The sequence below is a fragment of the Homo sapiens genome, chromosome 10 (genome assembly GCF_000001405.40).
Source record: "Homo sapiens chromosome 10, GRCh38.p14 Primary Assembly".
Taxonomy (NCBI): Eukaryota; Metazoa; Chordata; class Mammalia; order Primates; family Hominidae; genus Homo; species Homo sapiens.
Genome location: NC_000010.11, coordinates 129508638 through 129530015, shown reverse-complemented (window position 1 = coordinate 129530015; position 21378 = coordinate 129508638). Strand labels below are relative to the sequence as shown.

At 49.7% G+C, this 21378-nt stretch overlaps 2 protein-coding genes across 2 annotated transcripts in view, besides 2 other annotated features; one reads left to right on the top strand and one right to left on the bottom strand.

Annotated features, from left to right (window-relative positions):
• The window catches only part of MGMT (O-6-methylguanine-DNA methyltransferase), a 303743-nt gene that overhangs the window by 240968 nt on the left and 41397 nt on the right, over window positions 1-21378 (bottom strand). The gene's annotated exons all lie outside the window — the stretch shown is intronic.
• Window positions 7461-7975: an enhancer, noted in NCBI's record as "NANOG-H3K27ac-H3K4me1 hESC enhancer chr10:131320305-131320819 (GRCh37/hg19 assembly coordinates)". NCBI's record gives its function as "activates a minimal SCP1, AML or CMV promoter by ChIP-STARR-seq in naive H9 embryonic stem cells {active_cell/tissue: H9 hESC(naive)}" and the evidence as "EXISTENCE:reporter gene assay evidence [ECO:0000049][PMID:30033119]".
• Window positions 9007-9522: an enhancer, noted in NCBI's record as "H3K4me1 hESC enhancer chr10:131318758-131319273 (GRCh37/hg19 assembly coordinates)". NCBI's record gives its function as "activates a minimal SCP1, AML or CMV promoter by ChIP-STARR-seq in naive H9 embryonic stem cells {active_cell/tissue: H9 hESC(naive)}" and the evidence as "EXISTENCE:reporter gene assay evidence [ECO:0000049][PMID:30033119]".
• Window positions 16218-19396, top strand: LOC124902531 (uncharacterized). The gene is made up of 3 exons (XM_047426131.1): window positions 16218-16262; window positions 16461-16564; window positions 18703-19396. The coding sequence occupies exons 1-3, from the start codon at window positions 16218-16220 to the stop codon at window positions 19394-19396; spliced, it is 843 nt and encodes a 280-aa protein (XP_047282087.1).

Here is a 21378-nt window from a genome sequence, read left to right as displayed (position 1 = left end):
GGCAGGAGGATTGCTTGAGCCCAGGAGGTCGAGGCTGCAGTGAGCCACGGTAGTGCCACTGCACTCCAGCCTGGGTAACAGAGCAAGACCCTGTCCCCACAAAAAGAAAGAAAAAAAAGGAAAAAGAAAAATGAGAGCTATACAAAGAAATAAAGAGTACCCCAAATTATGAATACATGGGTAAATATAACATACAAAAAAAAGCTAATGTTACACTGTTGATGTCAAGTAGAAAAACGATGGCAAACATTCTCCACTTATTGTGATCTCACCATGTCTTATATGCAAAACAAATGATGGTTAATGCTTTTCTGAATAAAAACTGAGGTGTAAAATAATTCTGAGTTAAAAAAATAAAGATTAGAATAAAATGAAAACACACACAAGTAAATCAGATCACATCTTCCCTTCATTTCCATCACGATGAGAAAACACTTCCTGTGGATATGGCTTAAACCAGGGGTCCAGTCCGTGGCCTGTTAGGAAACGGGCCACAGAGGAGGAGGTAAGCAGCGGGTGAGCCAGCGTTACTGTCAGGTCAGCGGCAGCATTAAATTCTCATAGGAGTGTGAAGCCTATTGTGAACTGTGCATGGGAGGGATCTAGGCTGGACGCTTCTTATGAGAATCTAGTGCCTGGTGATCTGAGGTGGAACAGTTTCATCCCCAAACCATCCCCCCACTCCCATCTGTGGAAAAGTTAGTCTTCCACAAAACTGGTCCCTGGTGCCAAAAAAATTGGGGACCCCCTAGCCCAAATGGTCCCAAATTCGGCAGGCCCACACTTCCTTCTCTGGCCTCAGTCCCCCATGACCCCATCGCACCCACGCCCCCGCTCCCCCTGCCACTGCCCCTCACACTCCAGCCTCGCTCTCGCTTCACAGCCTCCGCTCTACCGCTCTGTCTCCTTCCCAGCCTGCACAGTGGCCACTGTCATCTCACTCACAACCATGCTCAGACGTCACTTTCTCAGAGAAGCCGCCGAAAACAGTCACCACCTCCACCCCTTCTTTCTCTGCCTTATTTTCCTTACATGACCTGGAATCACAGTGACGTGATTTGCTTACTTGTTGTGTCACCTTCACTAGAATGTAAGCTCCAATACAGGCAGCAAATGTGTCACAACTGTAGCCAAAGAGCGAGGAGAAGCCTGCAGAGAGTTCTTGTTTTCATATACTTTTTCTAAAGTCAGATGGCACCATCCCCTACCCTTCCTTCCTTGACATGGCAGATGTGATGGCTGGAGCTGTGGCAACCACCTAGTGATCATGAGGAAAAGGCCAAAAGCCTTGACAGATCAGGGCCCAACACTGTGAGCTACTCCACCACCGCAGCTCTCCACGGCCACTCCGCCACCACGGTTCTCCATGGCTAGTCTCCACACGGCAGGTCTCTTTGGGGGCCCCCTAGCCCAAATGGTCCCAAATTCGGCAGGGCCACACTTCCTTCTCTGGCCTCAGTCCCCCATGACCCCATCGCACCCACGCCCCCGCTCCCCCCGCCACTGCCCCTCACACTCCAGCCTCGCTCTCGCTTCACAGCCTCCGTGCTACTGCTGTCTCCTTCCCAGCCTGCACAGTGGCCACTGTCATCCCACTCACAACCATGCTCAGACGTCACTTTCTCAGAGAAGCACAACTACACCACCGCAGCTCTCCACAGCCACTACACTGCAGCTCTCCATGGCCACTATACCACTGCAGCTCTCCATGGCTGGCTAGGCTTCTCCTTGTGTGAGAACAGGAACGTTGGGCTGGTTTCAAGTCTGTGTTCTGAGGAATTCCTGTTTTTTCTTCAAACCAGAGTAGTCTTAGCTGATCTACTGCTGTATCCCCAGCATTTAGAATAACAGTGCCTGGCACCCACGATTTCTCAGCAAATATATGTTGAACAAAATATCTAATTATATGAATCATGCAATGATAATTGAGATAGGAATTCAGAAGGAGAACTCCAGGATTAATGAGAGCCTGTATCAAGGGGTTGGATGTCCTGGGGAGTCCAGGAAGGCTTCCTGGAGGAGGTGCTGAGAGAGAAGGGATAGTGTTGTAGTTTTCTGGGTGGAGAGGAGGAGGAGAGGAGAGACTGAGGCAGGCAGGTGCGCACAGGCAAAGGCACTGGCGCTGGAAGCAGCACAGAGCATTAAGGAGCAGAAGGTGGTGGCCAGGTCACCAGGAGGGAGAGGACCTGGCTTTGAGATGAAGCTGCCTCAGCAGCTCCTGGAGCCGTGAGGGCCAAGTCCTGGGATGAAGTCGGAGAAACGAGGGAGAACACGGATTCCAGGCGTGTCAAGGGTGGGGACAGGGAGAGGCGTCTGGGAGGCTGCAGCCACAACCACCAGAGACAGGGTGACGATGTGTGTGCAAGCTCTCTCCAGGCAAACCATAGAGTCTGCTCTGGCTATAAGCGTGCTGTGAACAGGAGAAAAGAAAAGAGCCGACCACCTACTACACCCAAGCACAAGGTTCACAGCTGCATAAAACGGGGCCTGTCTTACAGAGAGGAATTCCCGGCCCGCCTTCCCTGAAGCAGCCCACTGGAACCTCAGGGAACACACGGGGCAGAGAGGCCCTCGGCGTACCATCAAAGGAAAGCGGGCAGCCCCAGTGTCCCGTCTAACTCAAACACGCCAGCCTCAAATCTGCAGAATAAACAGCGACGTGGAAGACCCAAATGTTTAGGACTTCCAGAATTCGAACCATCGGTCCTAAGGGGGGCTCCAAAAGCTGTAACAGGGCATGTGCACATAATGGGACAGCCGTGTTGCTGAGAGTACCATAGTCTAAGGGGCAACCAGACAAGCAGGCATCCAGTGGACTCAGTGCTGTCTGCCTCTCAGGCTTGCACAGGGACGACAACACAGCCCACATTTAGGACGCCCAGGCGATTCAACAGTCGGGCTTCCTAATGTCCCCACTTCCCACTCCGGCGAAGCACAAGCCCACGGCCCCACAGGCTGGTAGTGCTCCCGGCACCACCACGGCATCCACCTAAACCACATGAGTGGCTGATGGTACTTGGTGGCAGAAAAAAATTTATTTTTCATGGCTATTTGGAGACCTCTGGAAAAATGAATTTCGTTTCATCTCCCTTTTAACATGAATGGCGTTTAAATAACAATGTTCTGAATTAAGCAGTTGGCGCCAGAGGCCAGTTCCTGCCATATTAAAAGGAAGAGACCCAGAAACAGAAACTCTTCTTTTTCCCCTACTGGTAGTCGTTTTCCAGGCCTGCTGCACTAAAAACTGTCAGGTCTAAAAACCGTCCTTCCAGGACCATCTTTGCAGCTCTGTGTCTTTCCCTCTTAACCATTTCCACTGCTGGTATCCTGTGCAATGAAAACACACAGAAACAGACTAGCCGGGTGTGGTGACGTGCACCTGCGGTCCGACCTATCCAGAGGCGGAGGTGGGAGAATCGCCTGAGTCCTGGAGTTGCAGACCAGCCTGGGCAGCACAGTGAGACCACACCTCAAAAACATAAAAACGAACATGTTAAAAGGGAGAAATCACCAGCCTCCTTGTAAGCTGTTTACAAACAAGGTAGCCCAGGTCCCTTGTGGCCTGGGCTTCGGGTCTGTGTGAAGGGGGAGATTGGCTCACCTGGGGGAGGAAGAGGACCGTGTCTGACTGCCTCACAACCTCCCACAAAGACATCACAAGATGAAAACTAGCTTTGCAATCTCCCTTCTGAACAGGGAATAAGGGGCATTGGGGAAGCCCCTCTCATCCTCAGGACTCATGCTCAGCCCACCTCAAAATCAGGCATGAGATAGTATTTTAATTTAAAAAAAGAAAAGCATGTGTCAAAAACACTTCATCCCTATCACCTGATCATAAACCTGGCCACGTGGTGTGGCTGATGCTCACCAAGTATAAAGGGCCACGGCTGAGACCCCACCCGTGGTCCCCGCTGTAACCAGGGGTCTCCCCGTGGATTCGGCTGGGTCACATCCAGCACAAGACAGTCAAGTGCGGCTCAGTTCATTCTGCTCTCACAACCGAAAGGGGTTCTGTTACATTGAAATCGTTTCACCAAACAAAACTGGAGCTGCCACCTAGGATGTCAAACTGAGAAGGGATCCAAACGGCGTTCCCAAACGCCACCCCAAAGCCTCCTGGTGGGGGCCTAACACGGGAGCCCTGGAAAAAGGGAAACACTCCTGTTTGTGGCTAAAGTTCTGTGAACCCGGCTACACGCATGCAAACACGAAGGGGGAGATTCTGCATTAGAATTACATAACCAGGCCTGCAAATTGAAAGAAGGTTTCTATCTGAAGCCGCATTCCACAAACGCTGCTCATGTCTTGGCTTAGGCACAGACTTCCAGGGTCTGGGTCCTGGAACAGGAGGTGTGCCGGTTTTTATTACTGTCATCGGAGCCGGCCCCGCACCGCACAGCACCTTTCTGATTAATGATGCTTTGGTTGTAAAGAATACTCTAACAACAAGAGCCCTGGGGAATTAGGGATGGTCAAAGAATGAGCCCTGGTGGCAAGGTTCCAGAAGCACCCCAGGCACGTGCGTCTTATTAAAGGGCTCAGCATAGTCATCGAAATAACACCTGACGCGTGGCACATTATAAAACCAACGTGAAGATGCCTACACATCAGATCCCAGAAGCAGACGGACATCTAAGGAAATCTGTTCACTGGTCTTTAAATCACCCATTTTGAGATATAAACTGGCACCTGTCTACATTTAAAAATCATACTTAAAATAAAATCTGGTTTTCTTTTCTGAACTCTTCTCTTTGGTACATATATGGAACTAAATATGAGTAATGCAGGAAGATAAACGCTGTTCTGAAGCTCATGCACTGCTTTGAATCTGTGCAATCAAGCAGGAAATCAGTCAGCAAGCAGTTAACATACAAACTGCTGTGTGTGTGTGTGAAAGAAATAGATCACACCTAGAGAAAAGGGCAGAAAACGTAAATGTGTACAGTTTTAACAAATTGCTCCAAAAATTCCCTGGAACTTAAAGCACTTTGGAACAATGTTTCCAGATTATAACTGCCACTCCCATATCCATTCCGACAGTTTAGCTAAACCAACTCTAGCTCTAACTGACAATTGGTTTGTGATACCAGAACACTGTCAAGATGAGCCTATAAACGTCTTTCTGGGGCCGGGTGCGGTGGCTCACAACTGTAATCCCAGCACTTTGGGAGGCCGAGGCGTGTGGATCACGAGGTCAGGAGATCCAGACCATCCTGGCTAACACGGTGAAACCCCGTCTCTACTAAAAATAAAAAAATAAGCCGGGCATGGTGGCAGGCGTCTGTAGTCCCAGCTACTCGGGAGGCTGAGGCAGGAGAATGGCGTGAACCCGGGAGGCGGAGGTTGCAGTGAGCTGAGATCACGCCACTGCACTCCAGCCTGGGCGACAGAGCGAGACTCTGTCTCAAAAAAAAAAAAAAAAAAAAAAAAAAAGTCTTTTTGGAAGCTTCTTAGTAACTATCATCTGTTTCTTTAAGAGGTTTCATAAAAGGCTTTACCACTTGCCATGTCACTGCAGACCAAAGAAAAATCTATATGAAGAGATTCCATGACATCAATGTCCCAGTGTCGGGGGTATGCAAACCTGAGTACACTCAGGTGTACACGCACGGTGCATGGCAGAGCTGGGAGACACGTCCACAGGCTAAACACTGTGCGTCCTGCAGCTAATTGTGTAGAGAACAACATTTTAATGGCAAAATACAGATAAAATGAAAAATTACAAGTTGTTTTTGTTTGTTTGTTTGTTTGGCAAGGCTGCAGGGGCCTGAGCACGCCAGAGATGCCAATCGTCCTTGAGGGCGGGAGGTAGTGCAGCCAGCTTAGGCCTTAGAACCCTGGAGCCGTCCCCGTGCCAGAGCCAGGAGGCAGAGTGGGCAGCCACTCTTTTGGTTTCAGAAGGTCACTGGCTGCTCTGTCTTCACGACACTCCCAGGTCATCAGGACACAGTAGGTACCAGTGCACCTTCTCACACAGACCTTGTCTTCAACACAGGTCACAATGGACACTTGCCATCAAGAGATGCTTCTGCTACCTCCAAGGCACCTGGCAGTGTCTGAGCGGACACTTCCAAGAGGCTGGGACCCCGCCAGTCTCTAGGAGGGTAATGAAACCCACCATGGGAATCTGACCCTAACTCCAGGACGCCTGGCTTCTGACAAGCACATTGTGGACTCACACAATCTCGTGAGTCCAGCCAGGGTCCCGCCTGGTCAGAAATACCATGGCACCCTCTGCTCAGAACATGAGGCCACCTCTGCTCTCTCTATGGAGCTGGCAGGACTGTGGCTGTCCTTTAAAATCAAATGGTGCTCCCCAGCCTCTAGACAACGGGAATGCATTAGAAGAGAAGAGATTTCACAGTCCCCAAATCCCGTGAAAGCAAGACGGATTCCACGGTGGAGGGAACCCCAAGTCTTGTGTGAACCAGGGAGCTGTACCCGTCCACGTCGGCAGCCCGGCCCTCCCAGCAGCATGGGCTTCGAGACCCGCCTATGAATCTCTTCAAGCTGACCCCAGGCCCGAGACATCCGAGACCTCAGCACAGTCTCATGCCCGATTGAATCATACTACACTTGAGCCTTCATCAAGCATGATTCCTTTAGTTTACTAGGAAAAAGACAATGAGAGAACACCATGTTTTCCCTCATTTTTAACTAGTCCCGCTAGAACTTCCTATGCTAACATCCGCGATAATGCCAACTGCCTTGCAGAAGGGAAAGAAGCTGCCCCGGCCGTGTGGCCTGGCCAGGATGGCGCTCACCCCACAGGGCTCTGGCCCGGGTCTCCCGCCTGTGCCCGCCGAGGCCCCCGCCGGGTCGCACATCTCACCCCACCAGCAGCACACTCCTCACAACCTGGGAATTTTCTGGCACTTCAGGAACCAACTAACTGCTGCGCTGCACAGTGACAGTCTGTCATGAGGAGTAAAGAGGTGGCAGGCTGGTGTTCAAAATGAAATGTCACTTCTTAAAACTGTTATGGCTTGGGAAGCTTCAGCTTAAATATGTCATGGCAGAAAATAACCTCATTCTTTATAGCCTCTAAAGTTGGGTGAAGTTTCACTGACTTCTTAGAGAATAGGTAACATGTGCGAACACAAGAAGATCTGACGGAAACATCAACTTTCTCAATTAAGCAAGGTGGCCAAAGCCACCAATTCCTGCCCCGAGCAGGTGCCGGGGGCTCTCTGTGGCCACTGTGGAGCAGCCTGGACAGTCTCGTCCACTGGCTGAGGGGAAGTTCCTCTTTCTCCTCGTCCAGACATCGACATGGGATTACACCCCTCCCCACCAAGGAAGGACCTTGTACTAGCAAAGTACCAAGTGTTTGTTTGCAAAGAAGCCATGTGAAGAAAGCCATGGTTAATACAAATTTCCACCTGCACTGGGATGGAATTTGTACATTCAGAACGTGTGGTTTTTGTGTCATGTGACCCACTTAATGATATAATCAGTCAACACTGGGATTCACCATAATGTGTGTCTCCAGGTTCAACAACCAAACCCTTGTGTGCGCAGATCCTACGGACAAAGAGCACTGTGGGATGGGGGCTCCAGGACGGGCACCCACCCCAGCCTCAGGGCAATCTCCGGCAACCGTCCAGGAGTCACACACCCACACAGGAAAGGAACAGTAGCTTTCTGCAAAGCCTACAGGCACTTCTGGCCACCTGAGGCAAAGGCATTACCTGTGTCCAGGGGCCCAAGGCAGTAAGCCCCTCCTCTCCCAGCCTGTGACCCCTGCAGGGCCCCCATGCCCTTCCCAGGCATTCCTTGGTGCATTCTACAAATGCTAAGATGCACCCTGCCAAGAAGATCTGAGTAAAACTTGGGAGGAGCTATTTCCGGTGACCTCCAACCCCCACCAGACTCAGCAGCATTCTGATGGCTTCTTTATCTCCCACTCACCCTTACCCAATTCTTCTCCATTACGTTCTGTGGTTCTGTGGTTCTGTGTGCATTAAGTCCCAGCAGCTCAGTTCAGCACACAGGGCCCTTTGCTGCCTGCTCGGTCCAGACCACTGGTCAGTCCATCTCCCATCGGCCCTGCGTGCCCTGCACCGGCACGCTTCCTTCTGCACCCATGGGCCTCGGTCTGCAAACAGCAGAGGGATGTTCTCATGGCAGGCAGCCTGCATGTCCTCCTGGAGCTGCGACTCCTGTACCATGCTGGCACTAGCACCGGGGAGGCTGCACAGGCCTCAGCTGCGGCCCCCTGGACAGCAAGGTGCAGCCTCGGCCTCGTGGGACTTGCCCTGGGCCTGGGGTGGACAGCACACACTTCTTGAGCCGACACTGTGGGCGGATGGAGACCCCCTGACCCCAGCAGGTAGACGCTCCCTCCAGCAGCTCTGGTCACATCTCCCCAAGGTACCAGGTGGAAACACCCTCCCTGGGGGCCTGGGAGAGAGCCTGGACTCCTGCAGGACTGAGGTGGGTCTCTCAGCAGCTGCTCTTGGATACAGTTTGAATCTAGCCCCGGCTGTGAGCCAGACTGCCAGAGGTTCCCTCTCTGAGGCTACCAGTGGGTGACTTCCTTTCTTACATGAGGTCACTGAAGTCCCTTCCATCCAGTAATCTGGAAGAATCTTCACACTGCAGGTCTCTGAATTGCAGTGAGCTGTGAGGCCAGTGACTCCCACCAAGAGGCTGGGCGGGGCCTCGCTCACTGCATCCAGAGCTTCCCTGAACTCACCCTGCATGCAGCCACCCCGGGCAACAGGGGGACACACGGATTGAAATCCCGTGTCCAGCCTGGTGTGACCTCCTCACTTCCCAAATAATGAAACTGAGGGAAAAGGGGCACTTGGAGCTGGTGAGGTCACTCTGACGATGTGCGGGGCCTGAGCTCTGAGAGGCCCAGACACCAGCTCTCCATCCCCACCTGAGATCAGAACTGGCCCTGAAACTGCTTCCAGGAGGGCCATGCCCAGTCAGGCTGGGCACCCGGACATCTGACAGGAATCCGGGGACAGCAGGTGGCGGGGCAAGCCTGCGTGCCGTAGGGGCCCCGTACGCGCACCGTAGGGGCTCTGCACCCTCACCGTAGGGGCTCTGTAGGCACACCTTAGGGGCTGTGTACCCGCACCGTAGGGGTTCTGTATGCACACCATAGGGGCTCTGCACCCGCACTGTAGGGGCTCTGTACCCGCACCATATGGGGTCTGTACATGCACCATAGGGGTTCTGTACCCGCACCGTAGGGGCTCTGCACCCGCACCATAGGGGCTCTGCAGGCACACCTTAGGGGTTCTGCACCCTCACCGTAGGGGTTCTGTACCCGCACCATAGGGGGTCTGCACCCTCACCGTAGGGGTTCTGTACCCGCACCGTAGGGGCTCTGCACATACACTGTAGGGATTCTGCACCTGCACTTTAGGGGTTCTGTAGGTGCACCTTAGGGGCTCTGAAAGCATACCATAGGGGCTCTGCACCGCACCATAGAGGCTCTGCACCTGCACGGTAGGGGCTCTGTACATGCACTGTAGAGGCTCTGCACCTGCACCGTAGGGGCTCTGCACCTGCACCATAGGGGCTCTGTACATGCACCACAGGGGCTCTGTACTCGCACCATAGGGGCTCTGTATGCGCACGGTAGGAGTAGACAAGGAGATGGAAGGAGATGCTTTAGGACACGTGCATACAATGGGACACTCCAGTTTCGGCAACCTCGGTCTAGCATCATGGGTAGCAGCCCCACTCCTCCTCTGGGTCCTGTCTGCAGCAGCTCTAACAGCAGGGTCAGGTAGCTGTGCCAGCGGCTGTACATCACAGAGCCAGAAATATTTCTGGCCTGGCCCATTTCAGGAAACATTTGCCATCCTGATCTGAAGGATCCTGAAAGCATCTGTTTTGTCTGATCCCATCTTTTTCTGCCCACTGATGAACACGTCATGAGCTCACGCAGATAAACCAGATGCTTGCTGCACTGCCTGTGGCACTACAACCTCAACAGTGATGCTGTCACAAACGTTTTCTGGAATTTTCTTTATTCTTTTTCTTTTTTGGTAGAGATAGGGTCTTGCTATGTTGCCCAGGCTGAACTCAAACTTCTGGCTTCACGCAATCCTCCCATAGCACTGAGATTACAGGTGTAAGCCACTGTGCCTGGCTGGAATTTTCTAAGTCATGGTGTAGAGAGGCCGGCTATCCTCTAATGCAAAGCAATGCCAGGAGCCACAAGTCAACACCCACGAGCCACTGATGTGCCGGCCACCAGTCAACACCCATGAGCATTAAGCCTGCACACCACTGAGAACAAAGAGAATTAAATCCTCTTTACCCTTAGCAAAGACTAAGTTTCATGAAATTTCTGCAGGGAAGAATTCTTGCATGAGACACATGGGATGATTTATGACTCAGTGTCCCGAATGGAAGAGCCTGGTGTTCCAGACACGTTCCAGCGGCTCCCGGTGTTCCCAACATGCTCCGGTGGCTGTGGACAAGTGGGCCTTGACGGCACTGAACTCCGTAAAGGTCTCGTGCTCCTGGAGCGACAGGCTCCATCTCACCGCAAGGCCACGCAGCAGAGGAAGTGCGCCCCGCTTCCAAATGATTAATCCGATGCTCTAGTCCACAAGGCAGGAAATTTTATGTTCTAAATTAGTTACATTATACCCAAAACCTATCAGTGGCTTGATAACTTGAACATATAATTCTATACCTTTTACTCTTTAAACAATAATTCAGTCTAATCCTGCAGCTGAAGCCAAGATTTCCAGGCTGAAAGTGCACTTTCCATTTGATTAAATACTAATAAATGCAAGAATAAAATACCAGTCTTTTATCTTACAGTAAATTCTTCAAAAACCATATACTCTAACAATTAATTATTTCTCTGGAGAAAGGGACAGGCCTTTCCCCTCGAAGACAGCTTGGTAGTCTCCGAGTCTTAATTATGACAGATAAAACATAATTTATAGTAGTCCAGGGCTTACAGAAAAATGACATCATAGTCGAGGTTCTTTGATTCTTGAAGTGACCTGTCAGTAGTCAGGGCTCTGGGAGGAGTGCCCCAGACAATCACCACCAGGCCCAAGAGTCAGGACAGTCCCTCTTCCTGCGGAGACATGCCCCATGCACAGAGCTACTATAATACAAACGGCAAAATATGTATGTATACAGCTGATGCTCGGACAGTGCAGGGGTTGGGCTGTTGAAGCCCCACACAGTCAAAAATCCACATAACCTTTTGACTCCCCCAAAACTTAACTGCTAATACCCTACTGTTGAATGGAAGTCTTAATGATAACATAAACATTCAACTAACACATATTGTGTATGTTACCCATATTATACACTGTATTCTTACAGTAAAATAAACTAGAAAAAGTTATTAAGACAATCCTAAGGACGTGAAAATCTATTTACTATTCATTAAGTGGAAGTGGATTATCATGAAGGTCTTCATCATCTCCATGGTGAGTAGGCTGGGGAGGGGGAGGGGGAAGGGAGGGGAGGAGGGGGAGGGGGAAGGGAGGGGAGGAGGGGCAGGGGGAAGGGAGGGGAGGAGGGGCAGGGGGAAGGGAGGGGAGGAGGGGCAGGGGCAGTCTTGCTGTCTCTGCGGTGGCTGAGGTAGAAGAACATCTAAGTGTAAGTGGATCCACACAGTTCAGACCTGTCTTGTCCAAGGGCCAAATGTGTGTGTGTGTGTGTGTGTGTGTGTGTGTGTGTGTATGTGTGTGTATCTGTACACACATCATTTAGAATTTTCTCATCTTTAAGATTTATAAAGTTTTTTCACATATTTCGTGAATTAAGGAAGTAAACCAAGTGAAATGCTGCTGAAAGAAGGTGGCAAATTTCAGAGATGAAAAATTTTTTTTCTATCATTATAAACAGAGCATCTGGCCAGGACACCAATGCTGGACACGGTGAGATACGCTTCCTGATGTGGAGACCATGTGAGAGTGGTGCCCGGTGCAGCCATCCCACATCCTCCCAAAGGACGATGGAGACAGCGCTCCCTCCCCAGAGATGCCTGCCACTGGGAGCCCACAGAGGTGCGAAATATCTCCAAATAAGGCAGGCAGGCCCGAGCCACACAACATCTGCTAAAGCATTCGCATATTCTCACTGCGGGTGACAAAGCCACAACCCATCATGGTAGGGAACTGGGGGAAAACTTCTGTGGGAAACCCAAAGGAGAATACTCATTCATTCAATCAGCAGTCCCGGGCTGCGGCGTCGCAGTTACATTTGGGAATATGCTTTCCCGTGGGGTCACAGTGAGGGTTTGGAGTCAGGGTGTGGAGACAGGAAGCTGGTCTGGGCCTCAGCCCACCCTGAGCAAACAGGGCCCCAGACTTTTTCCTCCTCTGCAACAGGAAAAGGACAGAGGCGAGCGCTCTCGCTCATGGCCACCCCACCCTCAAGAAGCCTTGTGCGACATACGGCCTCATGAGACAGGTGAGCCCCAGCGCAGGTGCCATGCCCATGTGTGACGCCGTGACACCCTTCCTCCCGTGAACAGTAAAGCAGACTGGCGATCCAGCACTGGGCAGCCAAAAGGTAAACCGAGGTAGAGAAAGTTGCCAGAGCCATCAAATGAGCCCCAAGCACGTGTCAGTCATGTGGCAACTGAGGACACAGGAGGGGCACAGTGCAGGGAGGCCACAGAACAGAGGTGAGGTGGGGCAGGGAGGCGACAGAAAGATTCACGATGTGCTCTGGGGAGCCTGTGCTGGGCTGCGTGTTTCCTCCTAACACCCACCCATCCCATTACTAGAAATGAGCTAAGGGGGCCCGTGCCCTCTGGCCAAAGAGGACCACAGGACCTCTGAGGTCCATTCAGAAGACTGCCCCTCGCTGTCCAGGAGCCATGGGCGGAGCACCAGAAACCCCCAAGCGGAGCTCCAGCTATGACCTCTCCTCCCATTCTAAGGTGTCCCTAAGGCCTTCTTCTACCCTCTGTGCTCACATGGCCAGTCTTACCTGGAGAAGCTGGAGTGGGAGGGACGGATGCGCAGACAGCTGACTGCTGGACACCAGTTTGTTTCCATTGGAGCCCCACCACCAACCGCACTCGGGGTAGAACTGTCGACATTGCTAACCCCAATATTCTATAAGAGTTGGTATTTACATTTTGATGCTGCATAAATTCTCAAAGGTCTCCACTTTCACCGATGGCGGATTTCCATTTCTGCTATGAGTGCACATAACATTAGCGACCCATAAGCTAACGACAAAAACCTGGCTGAGTTTCCAAAGGGAAGGAGATGAGCAGGTGCCAAGAATACCGCTCCTTCCATCTCATTAGAAACAAGAAATACTGGGCCTGAATCTGTAAAATGTTATTGGTGGTGGGGGCTGGGGTGGGGGAAAGCTGTTTTCCCAAGCTGCTTCGTATTGATTCAGCTTTTTATTAAAATTAATCTGATAAAAGTTTGAAGTAGATTTCCATTGAAGAGGAATTCTTTACAGTATTGGGAAAGGGAAGGCAACGTGCTACACGGTTTTGATTCTGCTTCTATAGCAGCTCACCTGGGTCCAGCCAGTGTCTCACCTGTTCATCACACAGCTCTCCCATCTGCTTTCTGGAAACACCATGCCGGGTAAGAGGAGGGACACACCTGTATCCCTTCACCCCACCCCACGCCACTGTGATATCAGCACGCCCCCGGCCCCACTAACTCTTCCTTGCTCTGCTCAGCCATGCACGTTTCACTGAGGCAGCCACTGCCTCTAGAAAGAATTCCCTATTTGGTGATTTCAATTATGAATGTGCTCCTCTGTGGCAACACGTTTCTAACAGCAAAGCTGATGTGGGTCGTGATGAGATCTTGCCCACCATACAGACATCAAAGACAGAAAGGGCCTGGGCTATTGGCTGGAACTTCAAATGGAGCAATAAAAATAGCAAGAGGGGCTGGGAAGAGACGAACTTACAATAAAATATTTAAAGAACTAATATAAAAACTGTCATGAGCTCTTCCTTGGACGTTTAAGCTGGGAACCAGCACAGAGTGAGGCTGCTCACACCCAAACCTGTAGACACCACATACAGAGTTCAAGTTCAAAGACTGCGTTTAGATCCTGTTCCCTGGATGATCACCGTCTCATTAATTAAAATAAAATAAAATAAAAAATAAAACAGACCCTTCACAGAAAGACTGTTTTGCTCTTTTCCCTTGCTGTGGATTTCTCAGTAGCAGGCAGAGACATTTAAATGTGAATTTGAAGACTGCACCTCTGTTAGAGGCTGTCATCAACATGGGTAATTACTCCCGCTAAGTAAACCTGCTTTTACAGTCCACAGGCCCACCTGTATGCAGGCCACGCTAGCTTTCTTCCCTTGAGGTCATACCACTTACAGGATGCCTCAAGACGTCAAGGTCACAAACTCTGGCATGGCCACATTCAAAGGTCCATAACCCAGAGCCAGAGCCCAAATCTGCAGGCAGAAACTGCCCCGCGCTCAGCCAGGAAGGGATAAATATCCGCAATACACTCTGTATCTAGGGGACTGGAGCTTCCACTAAAGCACCAACTTTCCCATTAAAGAGCCAGCTGAAACATGTGCTATCAAGTAATGAGACAGGACACGTGCTATCAAGTAATGAGACAGGACCCTCACCCCAAGGACTCTGCACTGTATCTAAGGAGCACTGCCCTTCAACGGGGCCTTGCGGAAATCCCCCAAATCTGGGAACACCACAAGTGGAGTCCCCAACCCCACACTCCGCCCTGTGCTCACCACCTCCTGGCTGGACTGTGGGCTCCCAGGGCCGCAGCTGCTGCTCCTGACGGGGCCTTGGCGAGTGGGGAAGCAGCAGCTGTGGGTCCCGCCTGTCCTGCACACGTGTCCTCTCAGACGAGACACCAGGCTGCACTGTGCCTGCAGGTGGATCTGCTGCTGCTGGACAGTCAGCACACGTCTCTCAATCCCCTGAACTGTGCCCTCCTTCCTGCCCCCAGCCACTGCAGGAAGCTGAGGAGCGGAGAAGGGGCAGACCCCAACCCTTTCTCTCAGGTCCCATCTGTCTGCTGGGTACTGGTTAGAGTCCAATGACCCCCAATACCTGACACAGCTTCCGGAAAATCTGCATGGGCCCAGCTTCTGTCAGTCCTGATGCTGACAGCAAGAGGGGCAAGGCCATCTCCGGGTGGGGCATGCTCACTGTGTTAGGCCATCTGAGCTGCCATAACAAAATCCTATAGACTGCGTGGCTCATAAACAACAGACATTTCTTTCTCACAGTTGTGGAGGCCAGGAAGTCTAAGACCAAGGCGCCGGCAGATTCAGTGCCTGGTGAGGCCCCACTTCCTCGCAGATGGCGCCTTCCTGCTGCATCCTCAATCGTCGAGGGCTCTACCTCTTTGGAGTCTCTTTCATAAGGGCACTAACCTAATCTCCCCCCAAAGGCCCCAACTCTTAATACCAACAACTTACGGGCGAGGTTTCAACATGAATTTTGTGGGAGAACAAACATTTGGACCATAGTACTCACTGTATGCAAAAAAGCAAGAAGGAATCAGACTGAACTAGGAGAAATTATAGTGGTTTAAATGAAAATATAATGTTTAATATAGAAAAATCATTTGGCCAAATTATTTGATTTGAAATACTTCTAATATACACGGGGAAAGATATACATAAAATCCACATTTATACATGGAATCTATGTTTCAATAAAAACAAAAGACTACAATAAAAATAAATGACACAATGACAAAGTATTGTGCATTGTTCTTCCTTGGAAATAGGAATTATTACAAAATTATATGTAAACAATACCCAATCTTTGTTCAAATAATTGATTGATATAATTGTATCTCTCTCATATTGATATATTCTCACTATCACGAGGAAAACCTCTATTGTATATTTCAAACACGAACAAAAATATAAAACTTTGTGAATGTTATTACAAAATTCAGCAGGTACATTTTATCTAAATTGCAGCAGAATGAATTCTTCAAACAACATTCACAGATGAAAATCTCAGAGATCTGCAGTGTTCATTTCAAAGGTAGCCTGAATTAGAGGAAAAATGCTGGTTGTCAAGAATGAAAAAGCTTTGATAATTAACTACTTCTTTAAACTCTAAGAACCTAACCTATTAGCAAGCAAACTCACATTAAGTATCTGTTTGTAAACGTTTTTTAGAGAAAAGATACTGCCATTTTCTCCACTTCTACGACTACCCACAGGACTTACTGCACACTGACTGTAACTGGGGCTCAGCCGTGGAGTTTGGAAGCCTCTGTCCGCAATGAAGAAAAGACGCTCCAACATCCTCATGAAGGTCACAGCAAGAGTGTGATAAAACTCACTGCATCATGGCCTTCCCTTGTTTTACAACAACCTTTAGAAAGTCAAGACATTCTAGTTCTCCTTGTTTTCCGATGCTGAACACCAAGGCCAGGATAAAGTGTCAAGAACTGCCTTGGTGGTCCCCGAGGCTCTGAAGAGGAGCCGCGGGGTCACGTTTCCTGCCACACCCCTGCACTCCTAGACCTGGCACTGTGGATTCTGGGCCTCCTGCTCTGAGCTGCTGCTCCAGACACCTGCCAGCAGCCAGGGGTCGCCGGTGGTGCCAAATAACCAGGTGTGTCAGAGGTAACGTCCCAGACACTCCTTTTGTTTAAATGTTAGGAAATATATTTTTATTGTGGCAAAATGCAATATTTATGTTAACTATTTTGTAAGTGTGTAATTCAGTGGCATTAAATACATTCACAAAGTTGTGTATCCATCACCTCTATCTATAGCCAAAATTTTCTCATTAACCTCAGCAAAAGCTATGTCCCCATTTAACAATAGCTCTCCCCACCCCCCAGCACCCACTATTCTACTTGATCTCTGAATCTGCCTGTTCTGGGTGCCTCATGTCTGTGGACCCATATAGTACTTGTCCTTTTGTGACTGGCTTATATCACTCAGCGTAATGTCTTTAAAGTTTGTCCATGTTGCAGCATGTGCCAGAATTCCCACCCTTTCTAAGGCTGAATAATGTTCCATTGCATGGATAGGCCACATTTAATGTATCTGTTCACTCACAGATAGACGTTTGTGTGTGTTCTCCTTTTGGCCACTGTGAATGATGCTGCTATGAACACCAGTGTACAAATATCTACTCAAGACCCTGCTTTCAATTTTGGGGGGTATGTCCTTAGGGGTAGAATTGCTGGGCCACATGGGAATTCTATGCTTCATGTTTTCAGGAACCTCCAGAAGTGTCCCACAGCAGCTGCTCCATTTCACATTCCCACCAGCAACACACAGGGTTCCAATTTCTCCACATCCTCACCAACACTTATCATAAACGTTATCAAATATACTTATATTCAAGGCACTGAACGGCACAGACTACAATTCAACAACTGCTTCACGCATCGCTAAGCCACAACTCAACTCAGAAACACTTAATAGTAAGAGTTGTTTAGTGACATTGATGGTACTTCCTTCATGCCAGGCACTCACTTTCCTCTTCTCTAATCCTTACAAGAGCCCTGCAAATGAGACACAGTCCATTCCTCTGATGATGAAAGACCCGAAGCTCAAAGGCATGAGAACGACCCTTCCAGAGACCTGGTGTGGGGAAGTCACAGGGAGGCTGTGGTCTGACTCTAGGGTGTTGAACACGCCTCAGGTGGTGAGATTAGTTGAGACACTAGTTTATTAACTATAGATTTAAATTAACGTGTAACAGAATAAACAAAATGAGCATAGCAAACACTTGTTCTCACTGCAATTCCTTAGGAAGAAGTTAAAGCGGGTGTTTAAAAATAAGTTGATATAAAGAAAACAAGAAGCAAGCAGTACTACAGGCAGTCCGCAAACAGGTGAAACTGATCGCTGAGGGAATGACAACTCAGGTCAATTAAAGCAGGGATGGCTGCCAACACCTCGCCGCCTCTACCCCACCACGTGCGAGGGCAGAATCAGGGCCTGTTTCTTTCTGCGCCCCCCATCTCCAGCATCCTGCATCTGCAGAGCAGACACTTAGCAAATTGAATTCACTGCCCTTTCCTGGCCAGCCACACACCCAGGACTGAGCCCTGAGCTAGGCGGCTTTAAATCCTCGACCTGGAAAGAGGACAGCCAGACTCAGACCTAAGGAAGAGCAGCAGCCAGCCTTGGGGAGAAGGTACCACGAGACAGCGCCATTCCCTCCACAGCGGCCAGTGCTGGGAGCTTGTGCAATGCGGATTCCGATACAGCAGGAGTGGGTAGGCCCAGGTGATGCTGCCAGCCCAGACGCCACTTTGCATAGGGGGGCTCTAGGCCTGCACAGATAAAACTAGTCCCAGCTCTAATGGGATCTAGGGCTCTTGTTAACCTATTCAGAGCTCTGCCCTTAGTATATGCTAGGCCCCTCATCTGATCCCCAATAGCCCTGGGAAGGTCTCCTCACTAAAAAACTGATGGCCAGGTGAATATGGCTGTGTTAAACAAAACACACAACCCAGAACCTTGGTGCTGGCTTAACGCAACTACTTTGGGTGCCATCAGTGTTCTGACCATCAAGAAGCTCACTGCTTAATTCCTGGCATATTCAAAGATGTTTCCCATTACAAGAAGCACGTGGCTGCGTCTGGTATACGGGGTTCCCATCACATGAAGCATGTGGCTGCGTCTGGTATATGGGGTTCTCATCATGGGAAGCACCAGGCTGCATCTGGTATACGGGTTCCCATTACAGGAAGCACATGTCTGTGTCTGGCTGCAGATGGTATACGGGGTTCTCATCACAGAAAGCACGTGGCTGCATCTGGTATACCAGGTTCCCATCACAGGAAGAATGTGCCTGTGTCTGGTATACGGGGTTCCCATCACAGGAAGCACGTGGCTGCATCTGATATACAGGGTTCCTACTGCATGAAGCACGTGCCTGCATCTAATATACCGGGTTCCCATCACATGAAGCACGTGCCTGCATCTAGTATACTGGGTTCCCATCACATGAAGCACGTGGCTGAGTCTGGTATATGGGGTTCCCATCATGGGAAGCACCAGGCTGCATCTGGTATACGGGTTCCCATTACAGGAAGCACGTGTCTGTGTCTGGCTGCGGACGGTATACAGGGTTCTCATCACGGAAAGCACGTGGCTGCATCTGGTATACCAGGTTCCCATCACAGGAAGAATGTGCCTGTGTCTGGTATACGGGGTTCCCATCACAGGAAGCATGTGGCTGCATCCGATATATGGGGTTCCTACTGCATGAAGCACGTGCCTGCGTCTAGTATACCGGGTTCCCATCACAGGAAGCACGTGGCTGCATCTGGCTGCGTCTGGTATCTGGGGTTCCCATCATGGGAAGCACATGCCTGCATCTGGTATACTGGTTTCATTTATTTTCCTGCCCTTATTCTGTACCTGAACCCATCATCTATTTCTTACGAATTTTTATTTTCATCAATATGTACACTTCTATCAACTTCCTAAAACTCTTTGACACATATCTGTTACAGATCAATGAAATTACTAAACTGAAATAACCAGCAAGCCCCCAATGCATGACAGAGCTTCAGATCTGTCAGCCATAATTTCCAATAGAGCCAATAATGTATCCATTCTCACTCATCAATTCCAGTGTTTTCCCCAAGACACGTGGTTCCTATCATATTTGTCATCCACCAAAACCCTTCCTCAAGGGCACCCGCAGGCCCTCAACGTGCTCCCACCACCAGGTGTGGCTCTGCACCGATTCAGTCCTCTCACCTGTTCAACATCTTCCAACATTTCACCCATTCTCAGGTGTCAATTCCAGCGTTTTCCCCAAGGTATGTAACTTCCTACAAAACCACATATTTCTAACAACTATGTTATATTTTAGCCTCTATGAAAGACCGGAAAATATTCTCCGAGGGATCATCTCTGTGGCGCATCCCATGAACATTTCCTTTCCTTAGATGCCCCCACCTGGCAACTCCTGGAGTCCTGGTACTGGTGTTCTCCCGAGGAGACAGGGAACAGGACTTGTCAGGCAGAGGACAGCACCCTGCGGGAAGAACCCAGGCCGCTCCAGGACCCCAGATGGACACTGTGCATCCTGGCACGGCAACCTTGCCATGCTCCCACCTCCAATCTGGCCTTAAGGCCCTCCAACCCTGACCCCAGGATTCTGCCCAGCACTAGGAAACAGCCCCCAGGTGGGTGCCCCAAGTCTCTGCTGCTCTTCCTTTTCATTCTGGTGCTGGAGCCATTTGGTGTCATCCAATTTACGGGACCTTTCTCAAAAGCTGTGGACAGGAGATGCTTTCTAAAACCCAGAAGTTAGGTTTGATTAAAAACAAAATTACATATATAGATTTCAATGGACCAAGCAACTCTGTATCCCAGAATCCCATGAAAAAGCTAAATTGACAATACTTAGAGAAATAAATTGGCAGAACAGAATTACTTGTCTAAAGTCACCTCTGGTTAAACTGGAAAATACACGTAAACACAGCATGTCTTTCTTAGTCATCCTAGAGTAGAATTTTAACTCAAGATTTAGGAATTCGATCAATTCTAAACAACTTGGAACTCCAAAATAATTAACTACCATTACTGTAAGCTATTTTCCACTTGATAAAACACACCTTTTTCTATAGAAATCGCACAAGGACACAAGGAAATCCGAATGTGCCAGGCACACACACAGAGAAGGAGCCCAACCACACTAATGCACACAGGAACCGTGTGCAGGGCCTGGTGTGTGCTGGGCGTGGAAGGTGCAATCCTGCATGTCGTCTCGAGGGGCGGGACTATCATGGGCATCCTGTGAACGGCGGCAACGCTCTATGCGAACGCAATAAAAATTAAACCATCATGAAAGGAAACTTCATCCCACACCTTAAAGCAATATAGATTCCAGGCACTTCTGAGTAGCAATAATAAACATCTCATGCAGCTAAAAGGGAAAATTTCAACCCAAAAGGAAAACACACAGAGAACCCTGGTGGAGCCAGGTGATGGCAAGGGCTCTTGGCTTCACCCGGAAATGACGCAACTGCTCCTCAAAGTCGCAGCCCAGCAGAAAAGAGCCGCTTCCTTCAAATAACTGCCAAGTTATTTGATTTTACTGAATTTCATTTTATTATTTCTTTCAAATAAGTAATTAGCAATATCCACAAACCTTGTTCATGACAGAAAATATTACCTTTGCCTTTTTTTCAACCAAGTAAGCAATCTGATCTGAGCTATTTAATGGGGTTTTCCAAATTAACTAAATCTGGCCAGGCCTGGTGGCTCATGCCTGTAATCCCAGCACTTTGGGAGGCCGAGACGGGTGGATCACCTGCGATCAGGAGCTCAAGACCAGCCTGGCCAACATGGTGAAAACCCCGTCTCTACTAAAAATACAAAAAGTCAGCCGGGCATGTGGCAGGCGCCTATAATCCCAGCCACTTGGGAGGCTGAGGCAGGAGAATCACTTGAACCCG

Bases quoted from the DNA above. Each gene is read 5' to 3' on its own strand.
- LOC124902531 (XM_047426131.1), top strand. From the start codon at position 16,218: ATGAAGAAAAGACGCTCCAACATCCTCATGAAGGTCACAGCAAGA. The intron at 16,263-16,460 runs GTGTGATAAAAC...CTGCACTCCTAG, and splicing joins TCATGAAGGTCACAGCAAGA to ACCTGGCACTGTGGATTCTG. The intron at 16,565-18,702 runs GTAACGTCCCAG...TTCTCATCACAG, and splicing joins AATAACCAGGTGTGTCAGAG to AAAGCACGTGGCTGCATCTG.